The following is a 22809-nucleotide window of genomic DNA, read 5'->3' as shown; positions in this document are numbered from 1 at the left end:
TGAGCCAAGATCACACCACTGCACTCCAGCCTGGGCAACAGAGGGAGACTATGTCTCAGAAAAAAAAAAAAAAGAAAAGAAAAGAAAAAGAAAATACAGGAGAGGGCCGGGTGCAGTGGCTCACGCCTGTAATCCCAGCACTTTGGGAGGCAGAGGCAGGCAGATCACGAGGTCAGGAGATCGAGACCATCCTGGCTAACATGGTGAAACCCCATTTCTACTAAAAATACAAAAATTAGCCGGGTGAGGTGGTGAGCACCTGTAGTCCCAGCTACTCATGAGGCTGAGGCAGGAGAATGGCATGAACCCAGGAGGTGGAGCTTGCAGTGAGCCAAGACTGTGCCACTGCACTCCAGCCTGGGCAACAGAGCGAGACTCCGTCTCAAAAAAAAAAGAAAACACAGGAGAGAAGGGAGGAAGGATTACACTGTAGAGTGCTGTGGTCACTCCTGGTAAAGTTAGTCAACTAGGACCACCTGAATCTCCCCATCACCCAGACAATGGGTGTTCAACAAAAGCTTAAAATCTTTTAATACAGTATCACAGCCTCTTATAACAGTTCATCTTGAGAGGGGATACAATGTGTCAAAAGGGAGAGTACTAAGATCTAATTCTCCTTTAACAGTCTAGTGACCATGGGCAAGTTTCTTGGTCTAAGCCTTAGTTTCTTAAATTAAAAAATACTGTAAGGTATTAGAGTCTCTAATGGCTCTTCTGACTATAAAAAGTTATGTATTTTCCGTAAATCTTCCATCATGTTTGTAGTGCTTTTTTTTTTTTTTTTTTCCCTGAGACAGGGTCTCACTCTGTCGCCCAGGCTAAGTGCAGTGGCCCGATCGCATCTCACTGCAACCTCCATCTCTTAAGCTCAAGCCATCTTCCCATCTGAGCCTCCAGGACCCATGTGGTCCGCGGAGTAGTTGGGACTACAGGTGTACGCCACCATGCCGGCTAATATGTGCTGATTTTTACAGATCAGTTTAACTTTTCTGTTTTCTTTTTAGTGAAATTTCTCAACTTCCTCTATATATCAAAATTTATTTCCCCATTTTTCTCAATGCCCTTGATCCCACTTGCCCCATGCCCTCCTGTCACTGCATTCCATTATTTCCTCACATGTTCAATTTCTCCCTCTGTTGGCTCCTTCCTCCGACATGCTCCTCTTGCCCAACCTAAAACTGCCACTCCGTGACTCCTTGGGTTAATGTCTCTTTTCTCTCCTTCTCAAAATTAATCTCTTCCTCCATTCACGTTCCAAGGTCTTATCTTTTTAGCCAATACTTTTTTTTTTTTTTTTTTTTTTTTGCCTTTAAAGATGCCAAGGCCGGGCGCGGTGGCTCACGCCTGTAATCCCAGCACTTTGGGAGGCCGAGGCGGGTGGATCACGAGGTCAGGAGATCGGGACCATCCTGGCTTACAAGGTGAAACCCCGTCTCTACTAAACATACAAAAAAAAATTAGCTGGGTGTGGTGGTGGGCGCCTGTAGTCCCAGCTACTCCAGAGGCTGAGGCAGGAGAATCGCTTGAACCAGGAAGGCGGAGGTTGCAGTGAGCCGAGACCACGCCACTGCACTCCAGCCTGGGCGTTAGAGCGAGACTCTGTCTCATATAAATAAATAAATAAATAATAAAATAAAATAAAAATGTCAAAAAAGAGCTTCTGGCGCTCTTCTCTACCCAGCACCTCCCGCCCCAAATACGATTCAACACTTCCCACAAACGAGGGTTGTTGGAAATGCTTGTTCCGCAAGGGGACAGAACGACCCGTATTTCCCATCCCCGCCCTTACACTACAGTCTAGAGGCAGTATCACTGGATGAAAAAAAGGCTGGTAACAGTCTAATCTCCCACAAACTGGACTGGGACAAATTTACCCTACAGACACTCAAAACACAGTCTACCCTAAACACCATCTACTCAGATCCCCGCTTTCCAAGCATCCACGGCAGAACGTTCGCGGCTGTTGCCTGGAAGGGGCTCTTATTACTCTAGTACAGACCCCAACCAGGACCCTCACCACTCCCACAGCCAGCAGCACCAACTCACAGCCATATTGTTGCCACCTTGGGCACCCCCTTGATGACACCACCGCCACCCCCACGTACCTGATTGACCATCCCCGAAGCTATGAAGTGGCCTAGCACTAGCCCAGCGCCGTTAGGCGCGGACGCCGGGTCCCACGGGTTGGCAGCGGCCATGGCTCGGACGCACCTTCCGCGAAGGCGCCAAGAGTGAGCGGGATCGCAGGGCGAACGCACGGCGCGGCTCGATGACGTCACAGGGCGTTCCCGCCCGGGACTAAGCCGGGGAGCGCATCCCGGCTACTGCGGGTCCTGGGTCTTCACCTGCGGAGCCTTACGGCAGCTGAGCGGTGGGAGGCGAGTCCGGGGCTCCCTGATCTTCCGTAGGCTCCCAGAGGCGCCTGGCCTCCGCAGAGCTGCAAAGGCGGCAGGGCTTGGTGGTCGGGCTGTGTGTTCTTCCGTTTCTTCCTTGTCGCTCTTGGGTCGGGCCCCAGGAGCCAGGGATCGGCGGGAGTTGAGAGCTGGGGCAGGAGCCCCAGCCGGGAGGCCGACCGGGTGGACTGGGCGGTGACAGCAGCGCTTCCTTCCCGCAGGGACCTGAGCCGCGGCGCTAGGATGGGAAACAGTGCGCTCCGCGCTCATGTGGAAACGGCGCAGAAAACTGGTGTCTTTCAGCTTAAGGACCGAGGGCTGACCGAGGTGAGACTGGGAGGGACACGACCAGGGAACTTAAAGGGAGAGGGACGGCGGGGGCGGCGAACTTAGTCGGTGCGGGATTCCCCACGCTGTGAACTCCTTTCTCCAGTTCCCCGCAGACTTGCAGAAGCTGACGAGCAATCTCAGGACCATCGACTTGTCCAACAACAAGATCGAAAGCCTACCGCCTTTGCTGATAGGAAAGTTCACTCTGCTGAAGAGCCTCTCCCTGAACAACAACAAACTGAGTATGGCTCTCGCCAGGGAGGCTTTTGCTAGTGATCAGCTGTTACCAGGGGTGGTTTTCTCTTACAAGCTGATTTTTGTTTTTGTTATGAAACCGTGCAGGAGGGCTCAAGTTGCGAATGCCGGAATCCTTGAAGCCTTCTTTCTACTTCTTGTAATTACATCTAAAATAAGCCTTATAATGATTGGGTGTTATAATGATTGTTACTGGGTTAATTTGGACTTGAAAGAGAAGAACATTTTGGGGATGTAATGTAAACAAAGCTACCTAACTTGGAATGGGGGATGGATGAGAAGGGGAGGATCTTCCAAATATCACAAAATTGCTGTCGGATTGTGCCTTGGGCCCCTTTACAAAAGGAGCCCATTATACACACAAATGCTCTCCGGCATTTTGATGGCACCCTCACCTTCTAAAGACTATGTTGGTAAAATGCAATATCTAAAAATGGCACATGTGGGAGTTTTACATATATTAACAAGAGGCGAAGCAGGCTGCCATATAGTCTTTATAAACTTCATCAAAGTTGTTTTCAGCTCTATCACATTCAGGTTTTAAAAAAATTTTTCTTTGCCAGCTGTTCTGCCTGATGAGATATGCAATCTGAAAAAACTAGAGACGCTAAGCCTAAACAACAATCACCTTAGAGAGCTGCCGTCTACCTTTGGGCAACTCTCTGCCCTCAAGACCCTGAGCCTCTCTGGGAACCAACTGGGAGCATTACCTCCCCAACTTTGTAGCCTACGGCACCTGGATGTGATGGATCTCTCTAAGAACCAGATTCGAAGTATACCTGACTCAGTGGGAGAGCTGCAAGTCATCGAACTCAACCTCAACCAGAATCAGGTCTAGAGCTTTAAGGTTTTTTTTCCTACAGCATATGTGTGGCTTTAAGGTCTCCTGATACCTGTTAACCTCTTGTTTCCTAAACTGCCATCATAGAGCTAAGTATCAGAGGCTAAATGAGAGGTTTCTTCTATAGGCTGAACTAATTTCAAGGCCCAAAGTGCCATGGAATTAGTTGAGACACTGGATGTGTTAGTTGTGTAGGTGTTTTGGGGAGGGTGGGGTAGGTAACAGGGAGAGATCATTTCAAAAGTTAAACTACTGTCTCACAAATCTTGAAGACTTCTTCAGATCCTCCTCAAATATATGCCCCTAACCAGCTAGCCAGGAGCTATGTCAGGGATATAATGTGGAAATGAGGCCTAAACTGAGGTTCTCAGAGTCGGGAGTCAGAGGTAATTCAGTTTTGTTTTTCGTTTTGTGTGGGGTTTTGACATCTTTGTTACAAAGTGTGTCTCCTTTTGCTGAAGAATATTAAGTGATAGGCTTTCTGGAGATAGCCCATTTCACTGTTGTACAGCTTTAATTATAATATTTGAAATTTGTTTCCATTACTTTGGAAGCTTTCAATTAATATTTGTCTGGAAAACCAATCCAAAGATTCTTGTCTAGGCATGAAGGCACAAGTGATGAAATATTAAACACTGTGAGACTGGATGGCCTTTAGTTTTCTAGTGTCTGTATTTCTAGATCTGCATGGTCCATTAAAGTGGCCAGAAGCTGCATGTGGTTATTACTTTTCTAGATTGTAGTGATTTTACATCATGATGAAATTCAGTCTGTCTTTGAGGAATTGGCCTCATGTTTTTTTACCTTAAGTGGATATTCTTGTATGTTATAGAGCTTCTTGGGGGAAAAAAAAAACTGAATCAATTAAGCAGCAAGTATTAGTTGAGGATTTGCTCCACATTCACCTCTGCCAGTACCTTTATTCAGTGGTTCTCTAAGTTTAGTATGCATCAGAATTAACCAGAAAAGCTTGTTTAAAGAGATCACTAGCCCCCTACCCTCAGTGTTTCTGATCCAGTAGGGCTGGGATGAGGTCTGAGAACTTGCATTGCTAGTTATTGAACTTATTAAAGTTCCCATGATTTCTAATAAGTGATGGTCTGAGATGATACTGGGCAGAATCAAATAATTTGGTGACTTTTAGTATTTAAATGGCAAAAGGGGTGAGTCAAAGACAATTGCTTGGTATTGAGCTTGAGGGCCTAAAGGAACAGTAGTGCTATTGAGAATGGACATGCTGAGTTGTCTGTGGTGAATCTTGTAAATGGAAATATCTTACTGAAAGTTGGAAACGTGGGAGCAGAATAGAGGTAAGAGTATAGATACAGATCTTGAGGTCATAACAAAAGTGATGGACTTTAATGAATGAGCTTTCTAGAAGAAGTTTAGAGAGAAGATGACATATGAAGTATTACAGACAGCTACTTGAAAAATGCCCATAAAAACAAGAGAAGTAAGGAAGAATCCAAAAGATAGGAAGAAAAACCAAAAAAGGACAAAAATAAGGGGTTTTAAGGAAGGGATAGATAGTACAGTTAAATGCAGTAGGGACTGAGGACAATGGATCCTTGAATTTGGTAGTAAAGTGGTCAGTATCTATGTACACATAAAACATTGGCAGTAAATGTACCAAAATGTTTATGGTGGTTATTTCTGGGTGGTGGATTCCAGGTAAACTTTTTTCTTTAAACCTGTGATTCTCAAATTTTCTATAATGAACATACAGTGCTTTTATCATCAGAAAATTTTGTTCCCAAAAAGCCATGGGTGACCTTCATAAAAGCATTTTTTTTAAGTGGGGGCGTAGTAACAGAAGCTAGATAACAGAGGCTTCTGGAGTGAGTAGGCAGTGAGAAAATGGAGGTGGTAAAAGAGGGGAAAACTAGAACAAATAGTCAAGTAAAGATTTTTGTTTTGTTTTAATGTACTAAAAGTAACCAGTATAGTGCTTATGCTTTTTCCTGTTATTCTTTTGTGGTTTTTCAATAGATATCTCAGATCTCAGTGAAGATATCTTGCTGTCCACGCCTTAAAATTCTTCGCCTGGAAGAGAATTGTCTTGAGCTCAGCATGCTTCCCCAGAGCATCCTCAGTGATTCCCAGATCTGTCTGCTTGCTGTGGAAGGCAATCTTTTTGAAATAAAGAAACTTCGAGAACTGGAAGGCTATGATAAGGTATGAATTAATGTACTTCTGCATTTCTAGTCACTACCCCAGAGAAGACAATGGTGAAGTAATCCACAGAAATGTTTATAGCTCATGTCAACAGGATTTGTTCTTCCCCATTTTGGAAGTAGATTCAAAGCATTGGCTGAATGGTATTGTACCAAGATGACTTTTTCTCTATAGACAGCTTATTGTAAAGCATCTTTGTCTTCATCTTTGTCTTTTGATATATATATATATATAGTGTGTGTGTGTGTGTGTGTGTGTGTGAGACAGGGTCTCACTCTGTCGCCCAGGCTGGAGTGCAGTGGCGCAATCTCAGCTCACTGGCGCAGCCTTCACCTCCTGGGCTCAAGCGATTCTCATCCCTCAGCCCCCCTAGTAGCTGGGATCACAGTCGTGTGCCAGTATGCCTTGCTAACTTTTGCAGGGATGGGGTTTTGCCTTGTTCGCCAAGCTGGTCTCAAACTCCTGGGCTGAAGTGATCTGCCCGCCGCAGCCTCCCAAGGTGCTGGGATTACAGGTGTAAGCCACCACACCCGGCCCTATGTGCTTTATTTATTTATTTTTTTTGGAGGCAAGGTCTCACTCTGTCACCTGGCTGGAGTGCAGTGGCAGGATCTCAGCTCAAGTGATCCTCCCATCTCAACCTCCTGATTAGCTGAGACTACAGGCGCTACCATGCCTCATTTTTCTATTTTTGGTAGATTGCTCAGGCTGGTCTGAAACTCCTAGGCTCAAGCGATCCACCTACCTTGGCCTCCCAAAGTGTTGAGATTGCAAGTGTGAGCCTCTGCACCTGGCCAAAACTATGTAATTCATTTTGCATTTACAGCAGTTATATTTTGTAGGAAATGAAAAACCACATGCAATAAAAACCAAAATGAAAAAAAAAATAGTTAGGCTTATATTTATTTACTCATGCCAAAATACCCCTTATGTATTCTTTCATGTTTTTTAGTACATGGAGAGGTTCACAGCCACCAAGAAGAAGTTTGCGTGAAGTTCTCCAGGACTATGGAAACCTTACAGGATACTGACTTAGAACCTCTGTTGGAATGTGGCTGAGTCAAAGCCTCCTGTTGTTGTTAGGGGTATCTACAGTAAGGAGATGATACTTCAGGAGATTATATTTCACTCAATGATCTTTTCTCATTTCAGGGCTCTTCTCAAATAAGCTAAAAGAAAAAGGATCAGGAGACAGGAAAAGTCTTCCGTTTTGAGTCATGAGTAGGGCAATAGACAAGGTTCTCTTCAAAACCATCATTAGTTTGGCTTTAAGAAACCAGTAGCTAGCTGCTATTTATATGGTGAGGGGGTGCTGCCTGGTAACAGAATAGCTCCACACCACAGCTTGAGATTTTGTTTAGTTTCACTGTGTGAGCTTTCATAAAGTCTGTTGCCATTCCATCTCTGTGTTAACACTTCATATTTTTATGAAATTCAGATAATTTGTGAGAGGCTGGCATGGATCTAAGGATTTATTATTTTTATTCTAGTCCATCAGTTCAGTCGCAGTTTTTATACTAGGACTTTAGGATGTACATAAATGTGTGACTGTTTGTCTTGATTAAAAGTGCACTTTGGCCTGGGCATGGTGGCTCATGCCTATAATCCCAGCACTTTGGGAGGCCAAGGCGGGTGGCTCACTTGAGGCTAGGAGTTCAAGACTAGCGTGGCCAACATGAGGAAACCCTGTCTCTACTAAAAATACAAAAATTAGCTGGGTGTGTTGGTGCATGCTTATAATCCCAGCTACTTGGGAGGCTGAGGCAGGAGAATCGCTTGAACCCAGGAGGTGGAGGTTGCAGTGAGCCGAGATTATGCCACTGTACTCCAGCGTGGGTGACAGAGTGAGACTCTGTCTCAAATTAAAAAAATAAAAAATAATTTTTTTTTTTTAAAGTACGCTTTGTTGGCTGGGCACGGCGACTCACGCCTGTAATCCCAGCACATTGGGAGGCCAAGGCAGGCAGATCACGAGGTTAGGAGTTCGAGACCAGCCTGGCCAACATGGTGAAACCCTGTCTCTACTGAAAATACAAAAATTAGCTGGGCGTGGTGGTGGGTACCTGTAATCCCAGCTACTTGGGAGGCTGAGGCAGGAGAATTGCTTGAACCCAGGAGGCAGAGGTTGCAGTGAGCCGAGATCATGCCATTGCACTCCGACTCTGGGCAACAGAGCAAGACTCTGTCTCGGGGGAAACAAAAAAAAAGTGTGCTTTGTCAAGAGAAGCACCAGCAGACCTCTAAGAACTGCTCTCTAAGGCTGCGGTAGCAAATTATCTACTATTGCAGGTGCCTTATTGGTAGAGGGCTCTGAAGAGCCAAAACTGTATATGCAACACTTGTAAGATAAAAGGGACTTTAATAATCAAGATTTTCTTGAAGATTTGTTAGAAATAATGTCTTATTTCTGGTAACCTTTCCCTTTTTGTATTTATAACTCTACTAACCAAATTACCTATCAATAAACCATTACTATAATATTTTAAAACAACCTATGTTTATCAAGCTTACTCTCTGAGTGACAGAATATACTAAATAAAGAATTTTTTAATGAACTTTGGCTGGAAGCAAGGTTAATCCTTTAAAGGAGGAGGACAGGAGAACTTAAACCTATAAATAGATTAGGAAGACATGTTTCATGCTTATGTTCAGATTGTATGAGTAGTGAAATGCCTTCATGTGACATAAACATTTTGTGATACTAGAACTATGCTTATTAAGAGAATCTGAGGTTGGGCGCGGTGGCTCACGCCTGTAATCCCAGCACTTTGGGAGGCTGAGGTGGGTGGATCACGAGGTCAGGAGTTCAAGACCAGCCTGACCAATGTGGTGATACCCCATCTCTACTAAAAATACAAAAATTAGCTGGGTGTGGTGGCACGTGCCTGTAATCCCAGATACTCAGGAGGCTGAGGCAGGAGAATTGCTTGAAACCGGGAGGCGGAGCTTGCAGTGAGGGTGCCATTGAACTCCAGCCTGGGCAATAGAGTGAGACTGCGTCTCAAAAAAAAAAAAAAAGGCCGGGCGCGGTGGCTCACGCCTGTAATCCCAGCACTTTGGGAGGCCGAGGCGGGCAGATCACGAGGTCAAGAGATCGAGACCATCCTGGCTAACACGGTGAAACCCTGTCACTACTAAAAATACAAAAAATTAGCCGGGCGTAGTGGTGGGCGCCTGTAGTCTCAGCTACATGGGAGGCTGAGGCAGGAGAATGGCGTGAACCCGGGAGGCGGAGCTTGCAGTGAGCGGAGATCTTGCCACTGCACTCCAGCCTGGGTGACAGAGCCAGACTCCATCTCAAAAAAAAAAAAAAAAGAATCTGAAGGTACAAAGGTAGAGGATTTCAGACTACCACTAACATCAACATTTAGAAAGCTACCATTTTGGTCATTTTCTGATTTTATCTTAGTCACAAAGCTATTACTAACTATATATCAACAGTTCTCAATAATGGTTAAACCTAGCTTATCCATTAAGTCAAGAGATCACACAAACCTACTATTTAACCTCCACGACAAAATCTTTCTGACGTAAATCTGGTCTAGGTGTTCTCTTTTTCCCATATGTTACTTTCTTTTTTGAGACAGAATTTCATTCCAGACTGGAGCGCAGTAGCACTATCTTGGCTCACTGCAACCTCCACCTACCAGGTTCAACTGATTCTTGTGCCTCATTCTCCTGAGTAATTGGGATTACAGGCATGCACCACCACACCCAGCTCATTTTTGTATTTTTAGTAGAGACAGGGTTTCACCGTGTTGGCCAGACTGGTCTTGAACTCCTGGCTTCAGGTGATCCACCCACCTCAGCCTCCCAAAGTGCTGGGATTACAGGTGGGAGCCAACACACCCAGCCTCCCATATGTCATTTTCTATTTCTCACTTTGAAAGGGGTACTAGTTTATCCATACCAGTTTAGGAGTTTTGTTTTTTCTAAATTTTAATGTTTATTAATCTTATTGATCTACTGAACAATTAACATTTCTGTGTTTTATCAGTACTTCTCATCTAATAAATCAGAACTTATACATTTTTTTTTTTTTTCTGAGACGGAGTCTCATTCTTTCACCCAGGCTGGAGTGCAGTGGTGCGATCTTGGCTCATTGCAACCTCTGCCTCCCAGGTTCAAGCAATTCTCCTGCCTCAGCCTCCTGAGTAGCTGGTACTACAGGCAGGCGCACGCCACCACGCCCTGCTAATTTTTTGTATTTTAGTAGAGATGGGGTTTCACCATGTTGGCCAGGCTAGTCTCGAACTCCTGACCTCAGGTGATCCACCCGCCTTGGTCTCCCAAAGGGCTGGGATTACAGGCGTGAGCCACCACGCCTGGCCAGAACTTATACATTTAACAATTTAAATGTTCCCATTTAATTATTAATTGGAGTTTAATCCACACTCTTATCAGAATCCACAACTACCACCCTTCACAATTTGGGCCTAGACTTATTGCCCTTTCTTCACTCTCATTTGCCTGCCCACCCATATCAGATTATTCTCTCTAAACCCACAGTGCAGTCTTTTCTGACCTCCTTTATACAGCTTGTCCCTCAGTGTCCATGGAGGATTGGTTTCAATACCTCCATGGATACCAAGTCCATGATGCTCAAGTCCCTTATACAAAATGACATAGTATCTTCCTGATACTTTAAATTATCTCTAGATTACTTATAATACCTAATATGCCTACACATAACTTCATTTGCATAGATTCAACATAGTATTTGATGCATGCTAAATTAAGGTTTTGTTTTTTAGAAATTTGAGGCATTTTCCCGCTCAAATATTTCTGACCTGCAGTTGAATCCACAGATGTGGAACCCATGGATACTTAGGGCCAACTGTATTGTTCACTCAGTTGGGAATGCCCTTTTTTTTTTTTTTTTTGGTCCAGAGGCTCACTCTTGCCCACGCTGGAGTACAATGGCGCGATCTTGGCTCACTGCAACCTCCGCCTCCCGGGTTCAAGTGATTCTCCTGCCTCAGCCTCCTGAGTAGCTGGGATTACAGGCAGGTGCCACCACACCTGGCTAATTTTTGTATTTTTAGTAGAGACGGGGTTTCACCATGTTGGTCAGGCTGATCTCAAACTCCTGACCTCAGTTGATCCACCTGCCTTGGCCTCCCAAAATGCTGGGAATTGCAGGCGTGAGCTAACGTGCCCAGCCTGCCCTCTCTTAATTAATATGCTCATTCTGTATGTCTAAGCCTCTTTCCTGCGTCTAAGCCGAATTAACTGCTCACCCATCTGTTACTATAGCACTTCTCACATTCTATATTTATCTTTCATGATAGACTAACTCTTTGAGGGCAAGGGCTATATACAGTAATATGCCCAAAGTTACAGCAAACAAGATTTAGATTTAAATATGAGCTAATCAAGTAAACTAGCTTGTGGTCTAAAGACCCAGATTTGAATCTGGCCACTAGTCCAAGTCACCTAATTTTTTTTTTCTTTTTTTGCGACAGATCTTGCTGTGTTGCCTGGGCTAGTCTTAAACTGGACTCAAGTGATCCTCCCATCTTGGCCTCCCAAAGTATTGAGATTACAGGTGTGAGCCACTGCCTGGCTTTTAAGTCTCTTTTTTTTTTTTTTTTTTTTTGAGACAGAGGCTGTCTGTTTCGCCCAGGTTGGAATGCAGTGGCACAATCTCGGGTCACTGCAACCTCCACTTCCTGAGTTCTAGCAATTCTCCTGCCTCAGCCTCCTGAATAGCTGGGATTACAGGTGCCCACCACCACGCCCAGCTAATTTTTGTATTTTTAGTAAAATGGGGTTTCACTATGTTAGCCAGGCTTATCTCAGACTCCTGGCCTCAGGTGATCCCCCTGCCTTGGCTTCCCATAGTGCTGGGATTACAGGTGTTAGCCACCACGCCCAGCCTATATGTATTTTTTGAGACAGGGTCTTGCTCTATTGCCCAGGCTGAAGTGCAGTGGCATGATCACAGCTCACAAATGCCTTGATCTCCTGGGCTCAAGCTATCTCCTCCCACCTCAGCCTCTTAAGTAGCTGGAGCTACAGGTTATCTGCCACCACACTCAGCTAATTTTTAATTTTTTAGAAAGACGGGGTCTTCCTGTGTTCCCCAGGCTGGCCCCAAACTCCTGGGCTCAAGCAATCCTGCCTTACCTCCCAAAGTGCTGGGATTACAGGTGTGAGCCACCACATCTGGCCCAAGTCACCCAAATTTTTTACAGCTTGGTTTGGAAGGCAATGTAGTATATTAAAATTATGGGCCCTGGAGTCAGAAAGATCCAGGTTTGAATACAGAGTCCGTCATTTATTAGCTTTATGAATTTGAGCAATTTCGTCTCACTTGTAAATATAGGGAATAGCTCCTACCTCTCAGGTATGTTGCAAAAAACTATATAAAAGCACTTAGCATAGTGGCCATGACAGAGTAAGCACTCAGTAAATCATGCCATTTATCTCATCTATAAGGCATGAAAGTAGAATTTTACAAGTTGTACAGAAATAGAAGGCTTGGAGTGGACACTACATTAAAAGGATAAAAAAATGGAGCCAGGCAGAGGCAGGCATCTATAGTCCCAGCTATTGAGGAGGCCTGAGGCTGGAGGATCCCTTGAACCTAGGAGTTTGAGGCCAGCCTGGACAACAATGTGAGATTGTGGCTCCAAAAAAATAATAAAAAATAGGCTGCTCTGCCTATGGAGTAGCCATTCTTTTATTCCTTTACTTTTTTAATAAACTTGCTTTTACTTTATGGAAAAAATAAATTTTTAAATGACTAGATGAGAAACTTGAATATCAATCTGAGAAATAAAATCTGATTAGGAATGTAATTGGGATAACCTGAAGTTTTGGTAAGAGTGACCTAAAGAAAACAGCACTTAGATAAGCTACTTTGTTTTCCTTTTTCACTTTACTATTTTTCTGATATATATTTGTTCATATTTATGGGGTACTTGTGATATTCTGAGACATGCATAGAATGTATAATGATCAAGTCAGGATATTTATGTTATTCATTATCTCAAACATTTATCATTTGTTTGTGTTGGGAACATTTCAAATCTTCTAGCCATTTTGAAACTTACATTAAGTATAGTCACCGTACTATGCTATCAAGCATTAAAACTTATTCCTTCTATCTAACTGTATGTTTGTATCTACCCATTAACCTACCTTCCTTCATCGCCCCACCCTGTACACCCACTACCCAGCCTCTGGTAACTATCATTCTACTCTCTACCTCCATGAAATAAATTTTTTAGCTCACATGAGTAAGAACATGCAGTATTTGTCTTTCTGTGCCTGGATTATTTCACTTAACACAATGACCTCCAGTTCCTTGGATACACCTCCAGTGTATTCATGTCACTGCAAACAATAGGATTTCATTCTTTTTATGGCTGAATAGTATTCCACTGTGTATATACACATTTCCCTTATCCATTCATCTGTTGATGGACCCTTAGGTTGATTCCATTATCTTTGCTATCATGAATAGTGCTGCAATAACCATGGGAGTGCAGGTATCCCTTTAATATATTGATTTCCTTTCCTTTCAATAAATACCCAGTAGTATGATTGCTGGATAGTATGGTAATTCCATTTTTAGTTTTCTGAGAGATCTCCATATTTGTTTTCCATAGTGGCTGCACTCATTCACATTGCCACCAAGTGGGAATTAGTTCTCTTTTCTCAGCATCCTTGCCAGCATTTTCTCACTTTTGATAATAGCCATGATAACTGGAATGAGATCATCTCATTGTAGGTTTTATTTGCATTTCCATGATGATTAGCAGTGTTGAGATTTTTTTCACATACCTCTTGGCCATGTGTGCGTGCGTGTGTGTGTGTGTGTGTGTGTGTGTGTGTGAGAGAGAGAGAGAGAGACAGAGAGATGGGATCTCACTATGCTGCCCAGGCTGGTCCTGAACACCTGAGCCCAAGTGATCCTCCCGCCTCAGCCTCCCAAGTAGCTGGGACTACAGTGTATGTCTTTAAAAAGCTAATTCTAAGTGCAACTGAGTTCAGGATGTCTGGGCCATAGATGTTTAAGTTAAGGACAGACTCATAATCCACACATGAAATGGAAAGGTTTAGAGTATAGAAACAAAAGATGAATTAAAACTGAAGCAAAGAAATAGGCATGGCTATAGGGGACACAGATCATTATGGTTATAAGACTGGAAACTTGAAGAGGGAGCTTAGTGTTAAAAAACAAGCTCAGTGGGGGATATAATTTTTTACCTCTTTAGTTATAGGTCAGTATTATGCTCAAGGCCACACAACTAGAAGTAAATGAATGAACCAAAATTTGATCCCAGGTGGTCAGACTCCAGAGCTTGTGTTAACCATTTACTACCTTTCAAAAGTGAATCAAGTTTCCAGACAATGTTATGGGAGAAAATCAGAAAGGGCTTTAAGTGAACAGCCATTTCTAATGCATGATGGAGTCTAATTTTGATGGCCTCACCTCTCTTTTTTCTCAATAGCAGAAGCTGTGGGAAAGTTTCAACCTGGGTTCCATGGACGGGCTTTCAAGACCTCCATTTATGGACCTCACTTATGCATGATTTGCATTTGTGTGCCTGTTTCTCTGGGGAGAGGCTATGTTGTCTTTCATCAAATTCACAGAGATGCTTGACCAGAAAGAGCTCCACTTTAGAGAGAATAGCAGCTATTGCTTATTAAGCTCTTACATTAGCCAGGAACTGTTCTAAGTGCTTTACCTGTGTTACCACTCTATGCAATACAATGCTATGTAGGAATTATAGGCATACCTCATTTTACTGCACTCCATTAAGTTTTTTCACAAATAGACAGTTTGTAGCAACCCTACATCGAGCAAGTCTATCAGTGCCATCTTTCCAACAGCATGTCCTCACTTTGTCTCACATTTTGAAAATTCTCACAATATTTCAAACTTTTTCATTATTATGATATGTTATGGTGATCTGTGATCACCGATGGTACTATTTTAACTGTTTTGGGATGCCACAAACCATGCCAATATAAGATGGCAAACTTTTTTGACAGGGTCTCGCTCTGTCACCCATGCTGGAGTGTAGTGGCGCAATCATGGCTCGCTGCAGCCTCAACCGCCTAGGCTCAAGCAATCATCCCATCTCAGCCTCCTCAGTAGCTGGGACTATAGATATGCACCACCACACCTGGCTAATTTTAAAATTTTTTTGTAGAAACGGTCTCATCTTCTTGCCCAAGCCATAAGATGGCAGACTTAATTGAGAAATGTGTGTTCTGACTGCTCCAACAACTAGCCATTCCTTATCACTTTCCTCTCCTTGGGCCTCCCTAATCTGAGACAGAATATTGAAATTAGGCCAATATATAGCCCTGCAATAGCCTTTAAGTTCAAGTGAAAAGAAGAGTCATAGCCGGGCGCGTTGGCTCACACCTGTAATCCCTGCACTTTGGGAGGCCGAGGTGGGCGGATCACCTGAGGTCAGGAGTTCGAACCAGCCTCGCCAACATGGCAAAAACCCTGTCTCTACTAAAAATACAAAAACTAGCCAGACATGGTGGCACACACCTGCAATCCCAGCTACTCGGGAGACAGAGGTTGCAGTGAGCTGAGATCGCACCATTGTACTCCAGCCTGGACGACAGAGCAAGACTCTGTCTCAAAAAAAAAAAAAAAATGCCAAGACAGGCTAAAGGCTAGGCCTCTTACGCCGGTTAACCAAGTGGTGAATGCAAAGGAAAAGTTCTTGAAGGAAGTTAAAAGTGCTACTCCAGTAAACACAAGGCCCTAACTCCCTTCAATGCTATAAAGGCTGAGAGGTGAGGAAGCTGCAGAAGAAAAGTTGGAAGTTACCCAAGGTTGGTTCATGAGGTTTAAGGGAAGAAGCTGTATCTGTTAACATAAAAGTGTAAGATAAAGCAGCAAGTGCTGATGGAGAAGCTGCAGCAAGTTATCCAGATAATGATGATGGTGGCTACAGTAAACAATAGATTTTTCAATGTAGATGAAACTGCCTTCTATTGGAAAATGACACCATTTAGGACTCCCATAGCTAGAGAGAAGTCAATGCCTAGCTTGTTTCAAAAGACAGGCTGACTCTCTTGTTAGAGGCTAATAGAGCTGGTGACTTCAAGCTGAAGGCATTGCTCATTTAACATTTTGAAAATATAGGGGCCTTAAGAATCATGCTAAGTCTACTCTACCTGTGCTCTATAAATGGAACAATGAAACCTGGATGATAACACATCTGTTTACAGCATGATTTACTGAATATTTTAAACCCACTGTTGAGAAGTACTGCTCAGAAAAAAAAGTATTCTTTTCAAAATCTTACTGCTTATTGATAGTGAGCATCAGAGTATATGGTCACCCAAGAGCTCTGATGAAGATGTACAAGATTAATGTTGTGTTGTTTTCATGCTTGCTAATATATCCATTCTACAGCCCTTGGATCAAAGAGTCATTTCAGCTTTCAAGTCTTATTGCTTAAGAAATAAATGTCATAAAGGTATAGCTGCCATAGTGATTCCTCTCATGGATATGGGCAAAGTAAACTGAAAACCCTCTGGAAAGGATACCGTTAAGGACATTCATGATTCATGAAAGGAGGTCAAGATACCAACATTAACACGGGTTTGGAAGAAGTTGATTCCAACCCTCATGGATGACTGGGCGTTTGAAGACTTCAGTGGAGGAGGCCGGGTGTGGTGGCTCACGCCTGTAACCCCAGCACTTTCGGAGGCAGAGGCGGGTAGATCACAAGGTCAGGAGTTCGAGACCAGCCTGACCAACGTGGTGAAACCCTGTCTCTACTAAAGATAAAAAAATTAGCTGGGCACGGTGGTGCCTGCCTGTAATCCCAGCTACTCAGGAGGCTGAGGCAGGAGAATCGCTTGAACCCGAGAGGTGGAGGTTGCAGTGAGCCCAGATCACGCCACTGCACTCCAGCCTGGATGACAGAGCAAGACTCCTTCTCAAAAAAACAAAACAAAACAAACAAAAAAGAGACTTCAGTAGAGGAATTACAGGCACATGCCACCACACCCAGCTAACTGTATGTTTAGTACAGATGTGGTTTCACCATGTTGGCCAGGCTGGTCTCAAACTCCTGACCTCAAGTGATCCATCTGCCTTGGCCTCCCAAAGTGCTAGGATTACAGGCGTGAGCCACTGCGCCTGGCCCATGGTAAAGTATTTTAAATTAAGGTATATACATTGCTTTTTAAAGACATAATGCTATTGCACATTTAATAGACTACAGAATAGTGTAAACAGAACTTTTATATGCACTGGGAAACCAAAATTCATGTGCCTCACTTCATTGCAATACTAGCTTTATGGTAGTGGTCTAGAACTGAACCCTCAGTATCTGAGGTATGCTTGTATTAATCTGCATTTACAGACAAATTAAGGCACAGAAATGATCTTACAGTCACTTCAGCTAGAGTGAAAATTCAGATAATGCCTCAGCCCATGCTTCTAACCAATCATACTGTGAGTGTAGCATGCTGGTATTCTCAGAACTATTTCCTTTATCCAGAACAGTGCTAAAATTTTTTTTTATGGTAAATGGTTTTAGGAAAGGCATTTAGGTAAAGCACAATCCTCCGTTTTACACCTTACTTTACATATTTACCATCCCTGCCAAACCACTCATTTTGACATGGAGCATTTCTATTACAGAGGGTGTAGTTGCATCTCACTTTATTTAAATATTTTCCTCTTTAGCCTTTGAAAGCTCCCACATTAACTGTATCTTCTCCAGTGAGTTGTAGTTCTCACACAGAACCATTACCCTTCCAGTCACTAGTGTATTTAAGCTCAAGTGAGTAAGACTAGTAATGATTAAAATGAACCTCACAATAAATTTTTAGCAAGGTAAGTTTAAGTCCCATCAATATTTTCAATAAATACTGGAAAGATGCTAAAGGCAGCTTCCTGCTGTAGTGTTTCTTGATGTATGGATCTTTGCTTTATTAATTTGTTAAATGAGAGCTGATGAAACTATTTTCCCCCAAATAACAGTCATAGAAACATGTTACCTATTTGAAAGAACAATACCATTAGTTAGTTAAAAAATTTAATTGTAAGGATCAAGCAGTGGTTATTGGTGAAACCAATACACACTGACAGCTTTGAAGTGTTCAGATGCTAATTTTAAAATAAATGTGACAAATACCAATCAGATGTTCATAACACTTTTCAGGATCCACATCAACTTGATTATGGACATAGTTCAATACACAAGGGTAAGAGAAAGAGTGTGTAATCACCAATAATTAAACCAGAGGCATAATTTTTTCAAATAATTTTTAGTTACAGAATAAATTCTAACTTTTTAAAGTCTAAAGCTACATAAAACTCAAAGCAATCTATTTTTCTACCTGAGGTCAAAATGACTTTCCTTTTTCCTAACTAAACATAATTCTTAGCATTGAGGTAAATCTGAATTCATGTGGTATGCTTTGTCAAACTTTTCCAAAAAATTTTAAGCCCTGCTTTAGAGAGAAATTCTCATGTTACACATATATATTTACATATTTTTTCTTCAAAGACTAATGACAATGTATGATGTTAATAGGCCTGTAATGGAACCATGATACTACTAATAATATGAAATAAAAAGCCACTCATTTATATAAAGTGTTCCTGAATGGTGCAATAAGAAATGGGATCACAGATTTATGTACATATATGAATCACTAAGAGTTCAGAAATTAAGCTCACTTTAAGAAAACTCAGCCAGGCACAGTGGCTCACGCCTGTAATCCCAGTACTTTGGGAGGCCAAGGCGGGTGGATCACGACGTCAGGAGTCCAAGACCAGCTTGACATGGTGAAACCCTGTCTCTACTAAAAATACAAAAATTAGCCGAGCGTGGTGACACACGCCTGTAATCCCAGCTACTCAGGAGGCAAGGCAGGAGAATTGCTTGAACCAGGGAGGCGGAGGTTGCAGTGAGCCCAGATCGCGCTATTGCACTCCAGCCTGGACAAGAGAGCGAGACTCTGACTCCAAAAAAAAAAAAAAGAAAGAAAACTCATTCTATTTTTCTCTTTGGAGCAGAGGTTGCAAAACTGTGATGCCTAACAAAAACGTTGTGTATAAAAGCTCCAAAACCAAGCATTAGCCTAAATTGGCTATAACTGCAACTTAAATCAAAAACTATATCCAACTAGATCTTCGTTGTGGCTATGCAACTTTTTGCTTTGTGGCCTGAAGGTTTTTACTGAGGTAACAACCTCTTATCTCTTGTCCTTCCCTCAACCACAAAAGCAAAAATAAACAACAACAAAAAACACCTCTACAGCTTCCTTCTTCATGGCTGTCTTTGGCAATGCTTCCAAATCTTGAAAGCAAAAGAACCTGCTGAAGTATATGAGGAGGATGAAAACACTAAACATGACATATGAAAACCAATCTAAGCGTATGAATTGAGAAAGAAAATACTAGAAGGAAGGCAGAGCAGCAGTCGGCCCTCAACAGAAAACAAAAAAGAAGGAGGGCTGTAACTGCTCTGGCCCTTCTTCCATATTATCTCCCAATTAGAAGAGCGTGGAACCGAAAACTTAAACTCTGAAAAGGTAATAACTTTCAAGGAGGAGCTACGGAAGTGAATAAATGATAAAGAAGAACAGCAGTAGCTTTAGCTGTCAATGAGTTTCTTTGCTCTGGCATTGGCAATATCAATACGATCTCTGTTGGTGTCAGCCTGAAAAACAAGAAAGATATCAGCTTTACAAGGTAAGTAACTCTAATAAAAATTAAACTTTTTACACTTGGAGTAACTGACACACCAAGAAAATCCAAGAAACCACGTGAAGTTACATTACAAAACTCATGTTGGGCAAGAAGTAACAGAATATGAAATTCATTTGGAAAACCCCTGGTATATAAACATGACAAAGGTGTAACATATAAGACCTTGCCAATATTTCATAAATTCTATAACGCATTTTTTCATAGTTTAACATGCCTGAAACTGGGATGCATCCTGTAATCAATGGCATTTTTTGATGCAATGAAATATGAAAGAGTGCTCTTCTCTGTTAAAGATCTGGACCTTGTGTGAGTCCTCTGAACTGAATCATAGAATCTCATCTGGATTCAGACACCCTAAGTCTAACCTGGAGAGACTGAAATAACCTTTCCAAAGATCTTTGAAACGAATCTATTACCATCCTCACCAACATCTGAATTAAAATGACAGGTAAATATAGCCTAAACCCAGACTGCAGCATTTAAAGCATCTTGTGAACCACTGTTTCAATTAAATCCATCAAAAGTGATTTAACAGAGAGCCAAGCTTAAAAACTCACCCTAAAGTTCACTGAGATTTTAATGAGGTATGACTTTCTTTTTTTCCTTTCTTTTTGAGAAAGGGTCTCACTCTGTTGCCCAGGCTGGAATGCAATGGTGCAATCACAGCTCACTGCAGCCTTCAACTCCTACACTCAAGCAATCCTTCTGCCTCAGCCTCCCGAGTAACTGGGACAATAGGCACATGCCACCATGCCTGGTCAATTTTTAAATTTTTTTAGTAGAGTCGAGGTCTTGCTCTGGTCTCAAACTCCTGAGCTCAAGCAATCCTCCTGCCTCCGCCTCTCAAAGTGTTGAGATTACAGGTGTGAGCTACCACGGTTGGCCAAGGTATGACTTTACATGTGACACATCAAAACACTGAAAACAATTTCGCTTTCACTATATTTATATCATGTAAAGTTAAGGGGGAAAAAAAAGAATCACAACTTTCTTTCACTCACATGACTCTATTTCGTGTGTCCACTCCATAAGAACTATTCTGCAGAACAGATTTTCACCTACGGACTCTTTCATGAGATGAGGATTCAGGAACTTAATTTATTTTTAGTTAACAAAATAGGCTGATGTGGGAGGAACGCTTTAGCCTAGGAGGCAGGCTGCAGTGAGCTGTGATTGTACCACCACACTACCCTAGGCGACAGAGCAAGACCCCATTCTCAATTAAAAAATTAGTTAACAAAATAAAACTCATTTGGGAGAGAAAAAAACACGCTCAAAAGCTAAAGTAGATACTAAGCTTCATGTGTGAAGGTTTAAGTAAAACTACTATATTCCAAAACTCTGGTTTCAAAATGCACCAACTACCATGACAGGGAGGACTTGGCTCTTGTTTTATGTGTTAGAACCACCACCTCATCAGAATTAAGACCTATGAGGACAGGAGCTTATTCTACCGTGTCCCCCACAGTATCTAGCACAGATGTCTATTACTGAAACACTGAACTGGGTGTCTCATTTTCTTGTGGCAATAAAAAGCTTTTACCTTGTCTGTGATTCGTTTTATTTGTGGATTTTGAGCATCAATCTCATTGCCTATGTTCAGGGCCATGTCTTTTAGATTTCCCAGGATACTGCCCACTTGAGTCAGGTTCTCTTCCATTTCATCTTCTCTGGCATCATTAGTTATGCTATCACAAGAAGACAGTTAATTCCATAGGTTTTGTTGAATTTAAATAAAAGTCTGGATTTACTTTTCACAAAAGTAAGTAACCAAAATGACTCTCAGCAAGTATAAGATCCAAAAGAATATAGGTTACCATTCCTGGGAAACATTCTATAATAAAAACTGGGAGACTCATCAAAGAGAGCACAGTATCTTAAAGCCATGTAAGAAAAGAAAGAAACTCTGAAACAGTGTTTCTCAAAGCTTAATTCCCAGCATCACCTGGGAAGCTGTTAGACATGAGAATGCTAATTCTCACACTCCATTCCAGACCTACTCAATCAGAAACTGTAAGTGCATCCCAGAAACCTACGGTTTAATAAGCCCCTCAAGTGGTTCTAATGCACAGTTAAGTCTATCTAAAGAAGCACTGCCCTAAGAGAGAGGTTGGAAAACTACGGCCCAAGGACCAAATCTGGCCACCATATGATTTTGTAAATCAAGTGTTATTCAAACACAGCTGTGCTCATTTGTTTACATATTGTTTATGCCTGCTTTAACCCTACAACAGAGTTGAGTAATTGCAAGGGACTGTATGGCCTGAAAAGTCTGAAATATTAACTCTCTGGCTCGTTACAGATCTTCTTACAGGAATCTAGCTGACCCTTGTTCTAGATGACACATTTTAAAACCTATTTTTTTCTATATATAAAAGTAAAATATGTCTAGTTCAATAATTTGGAAAGTACTGAAAAGTATAAAGAAAAGTTAATTCCATCACCCAAGGTCAACCACCACAGTCAACATTTTGTCTGGCCAGGTGTGGTAGCTTATGCCTGTAATCCCAGCACTTTGGGAGGCCGAGGCAGGTGGATCACCTGAGGTCAGGAGTCCAAGACCAGCCTGGTCAACATGGTGAAACCCTGTCTCTACTAAAAATACAAAAATTAGCTGGGCGTGGTGGCGCACACCTGTAGTCCCAGCTACTCGGAAGGCTGAGGCAGGAGAATAACTTGAACCTGGGAGGCAGAGGTTGCAGTGAGCTGAGATCACGCCACTGCACTCCAGCCTGGGCAACACAGCAAGACTCTGTCTCAAAACAAAACAACAAATAAAAAAAACCCACATTTTGTCAGTGGGCAGATTTTTAAATGCATTTTAAAAATGGAATAAATACAATTTTTATTTGTTTTATTAGGGGTCATGTACTGCTAAACTCATCTCCTAAGTGAACCATTCATTAAGAAAGGTACAGGAATATCAGGAGGAGTTGGCATACCGTTTAATGTATCCACCACTGGCTGCTCCCGTTGTTGGTTGCTGAAGCTGACCATTTGTCACCGGGCCTGGCTGTTTAGATACTACATTGCAAGGTGAGTTTTCTCCACCATCTCCCCATGTTGTCTTATAAGCCTTGCCAGACTCAAAGTTCTTTGTT

At 42.4% G+C, this 22809-nt stretch overlaps 3 protein-coding genes across 19 annotated transcripts in view, besides 1 other annotated feature; 1 reads left to right on the top strand and 2 right to left on the bottom strand.

Moving 5' to 3' along the window:
* Positions 1-2233, bottom strand: part of HAUS2 (HAUS augmin like complex subunit 2) — a 21157-nt gene extending 18924 nt beyond the window's left edge. For all 7 annotated transcript variants that reach the window (NM_001323631.2, NM_018097.3, NM_001323630.2 and 4 more), the window contains exon 1: positions 2106-2233. Coding sequence is in view for 3 of the 7 variants with exons in the window: in NM_018097.3 (NP_060567.1) it covers positions 2106-2198 (93 nt within the window). In the remaining 4 variants the exon portion in view is untranslated. The remainder of the gene's footprint in view (positions 1-2105) is intronic.
* Positions 1973-2442: an enhancer, noted in NCBI's record as "active region_9304". NCBI's record gives its function as "activates an Ori minimal core promoter by ATAC-STARR-seq in GM12878 lymphoblastoid cells {active_cell/tissue: GM12878}" and the evidence as "EXISTENCE:reporter gene assay evidence [ECO:0000049][PMID:35858748]".
* On the top strand, positions 2278-22744 carry LRRC57 (leucine rich repeat containing 57). Of its 4 annotated transcripts, none has more exons than XM_011521423.4 (6): positions 2278-2378; positions 2615-2720; positions 2827-2965; positions 3542-3810; positions 5809-5994; positions 22570-22744. In XM_011521423.4, exons 2-6 carry the CDS (start codon positions 2637-2639, stop codon positions 22597-22599), a joined length of 708 nt encoding a protein of 235 aa, XP_011519725.1. In that variant the 5' UTR covers positions 2278-2378; positions 2615-2636; the 3' UTR covers positions 22600-22744. The 4 variants fall into 4 exon arrangements, with proteins under 4 accessions (XP_011519725.1, XP_011519726.1, NP_694992.2 ...); XM_011521424.4 differs by lacking the exon at positions 22570-22744 and adding an exon at positions 11460-13242; NM_153260.3 differs by lacking the exon at positions 22570-22744 and adding an exon at positions 6947-13242.
* Positions 18013-22809, bottom strand: part of SNAP23 (synaptosome associated protein 23) — a 41930-nt gene continuing 37133 nt past the window's right edge. For 7 of the 8 annotated variants that reach the window (XM_047433203.1, XM_017022694.2, XM_047433202.1 and 4 more), the window contains 3 exons: positions 22651-22809; positions 21252-21396; positions 18013-19658 (listed from right to left, as the gene is read on the bottom strand). In XM_047433203.1, the coding sequence (XP_047289159.1) occupies positions 19593-19658; positions 21252-21396; positions 22651-22809 (370 nt within the window). In that variant the 3' untranslated portion in view covers positions 18013-19592. The remainder of the gene's footprint in view (positions 19659-21251; positions 21397-22650) is intronic. The other variant, NM_130798.3, reaches the window with a different exon arrangement.

This window comes from Homo sapiens, chromosome 15 (assembly GCF_000001405.40).
Source record: "Homo sapiens chromosome 15, GRCh38.p14 Primary Assembly".
NCBI classification, from domain to species: Eukaryota; Metazoa; Chordata; class Mammalia; order Primates; family Hominidae; genus Homo; species Homo sapiens.
This window is presented reverse-complemented; position numbering and strand designations above follow the sequence as displayed.

What these genes read in the sequence shown, in the direction of transcription:
- LRRC57 (NM_153260.3), top strand. Translation starts at nt 2,637, where the DNA reads ATGGGAAACAGTGCGCTCCGCGCTCATGTGGAAACGGCGCAGAAAACT. An exon ending in CCTGAACAACAACAAACTGA is followed by an intron (nt 2,966 to 3,541) that starts GTATGGCTCTCG and finishes TTTCTTTGCCAG; the next exon opens with CTGTTCTGCCTGATGAGATA. An exon ending in TCAACCTCAACCAGAATCAG is followed by an intron (nt 3,811 to 5,808) that starts GTCTAGAGCTTT and finishes GTTTTTCAATAG; the next exon opens with ATATCTCAGATCTCAGTGAA.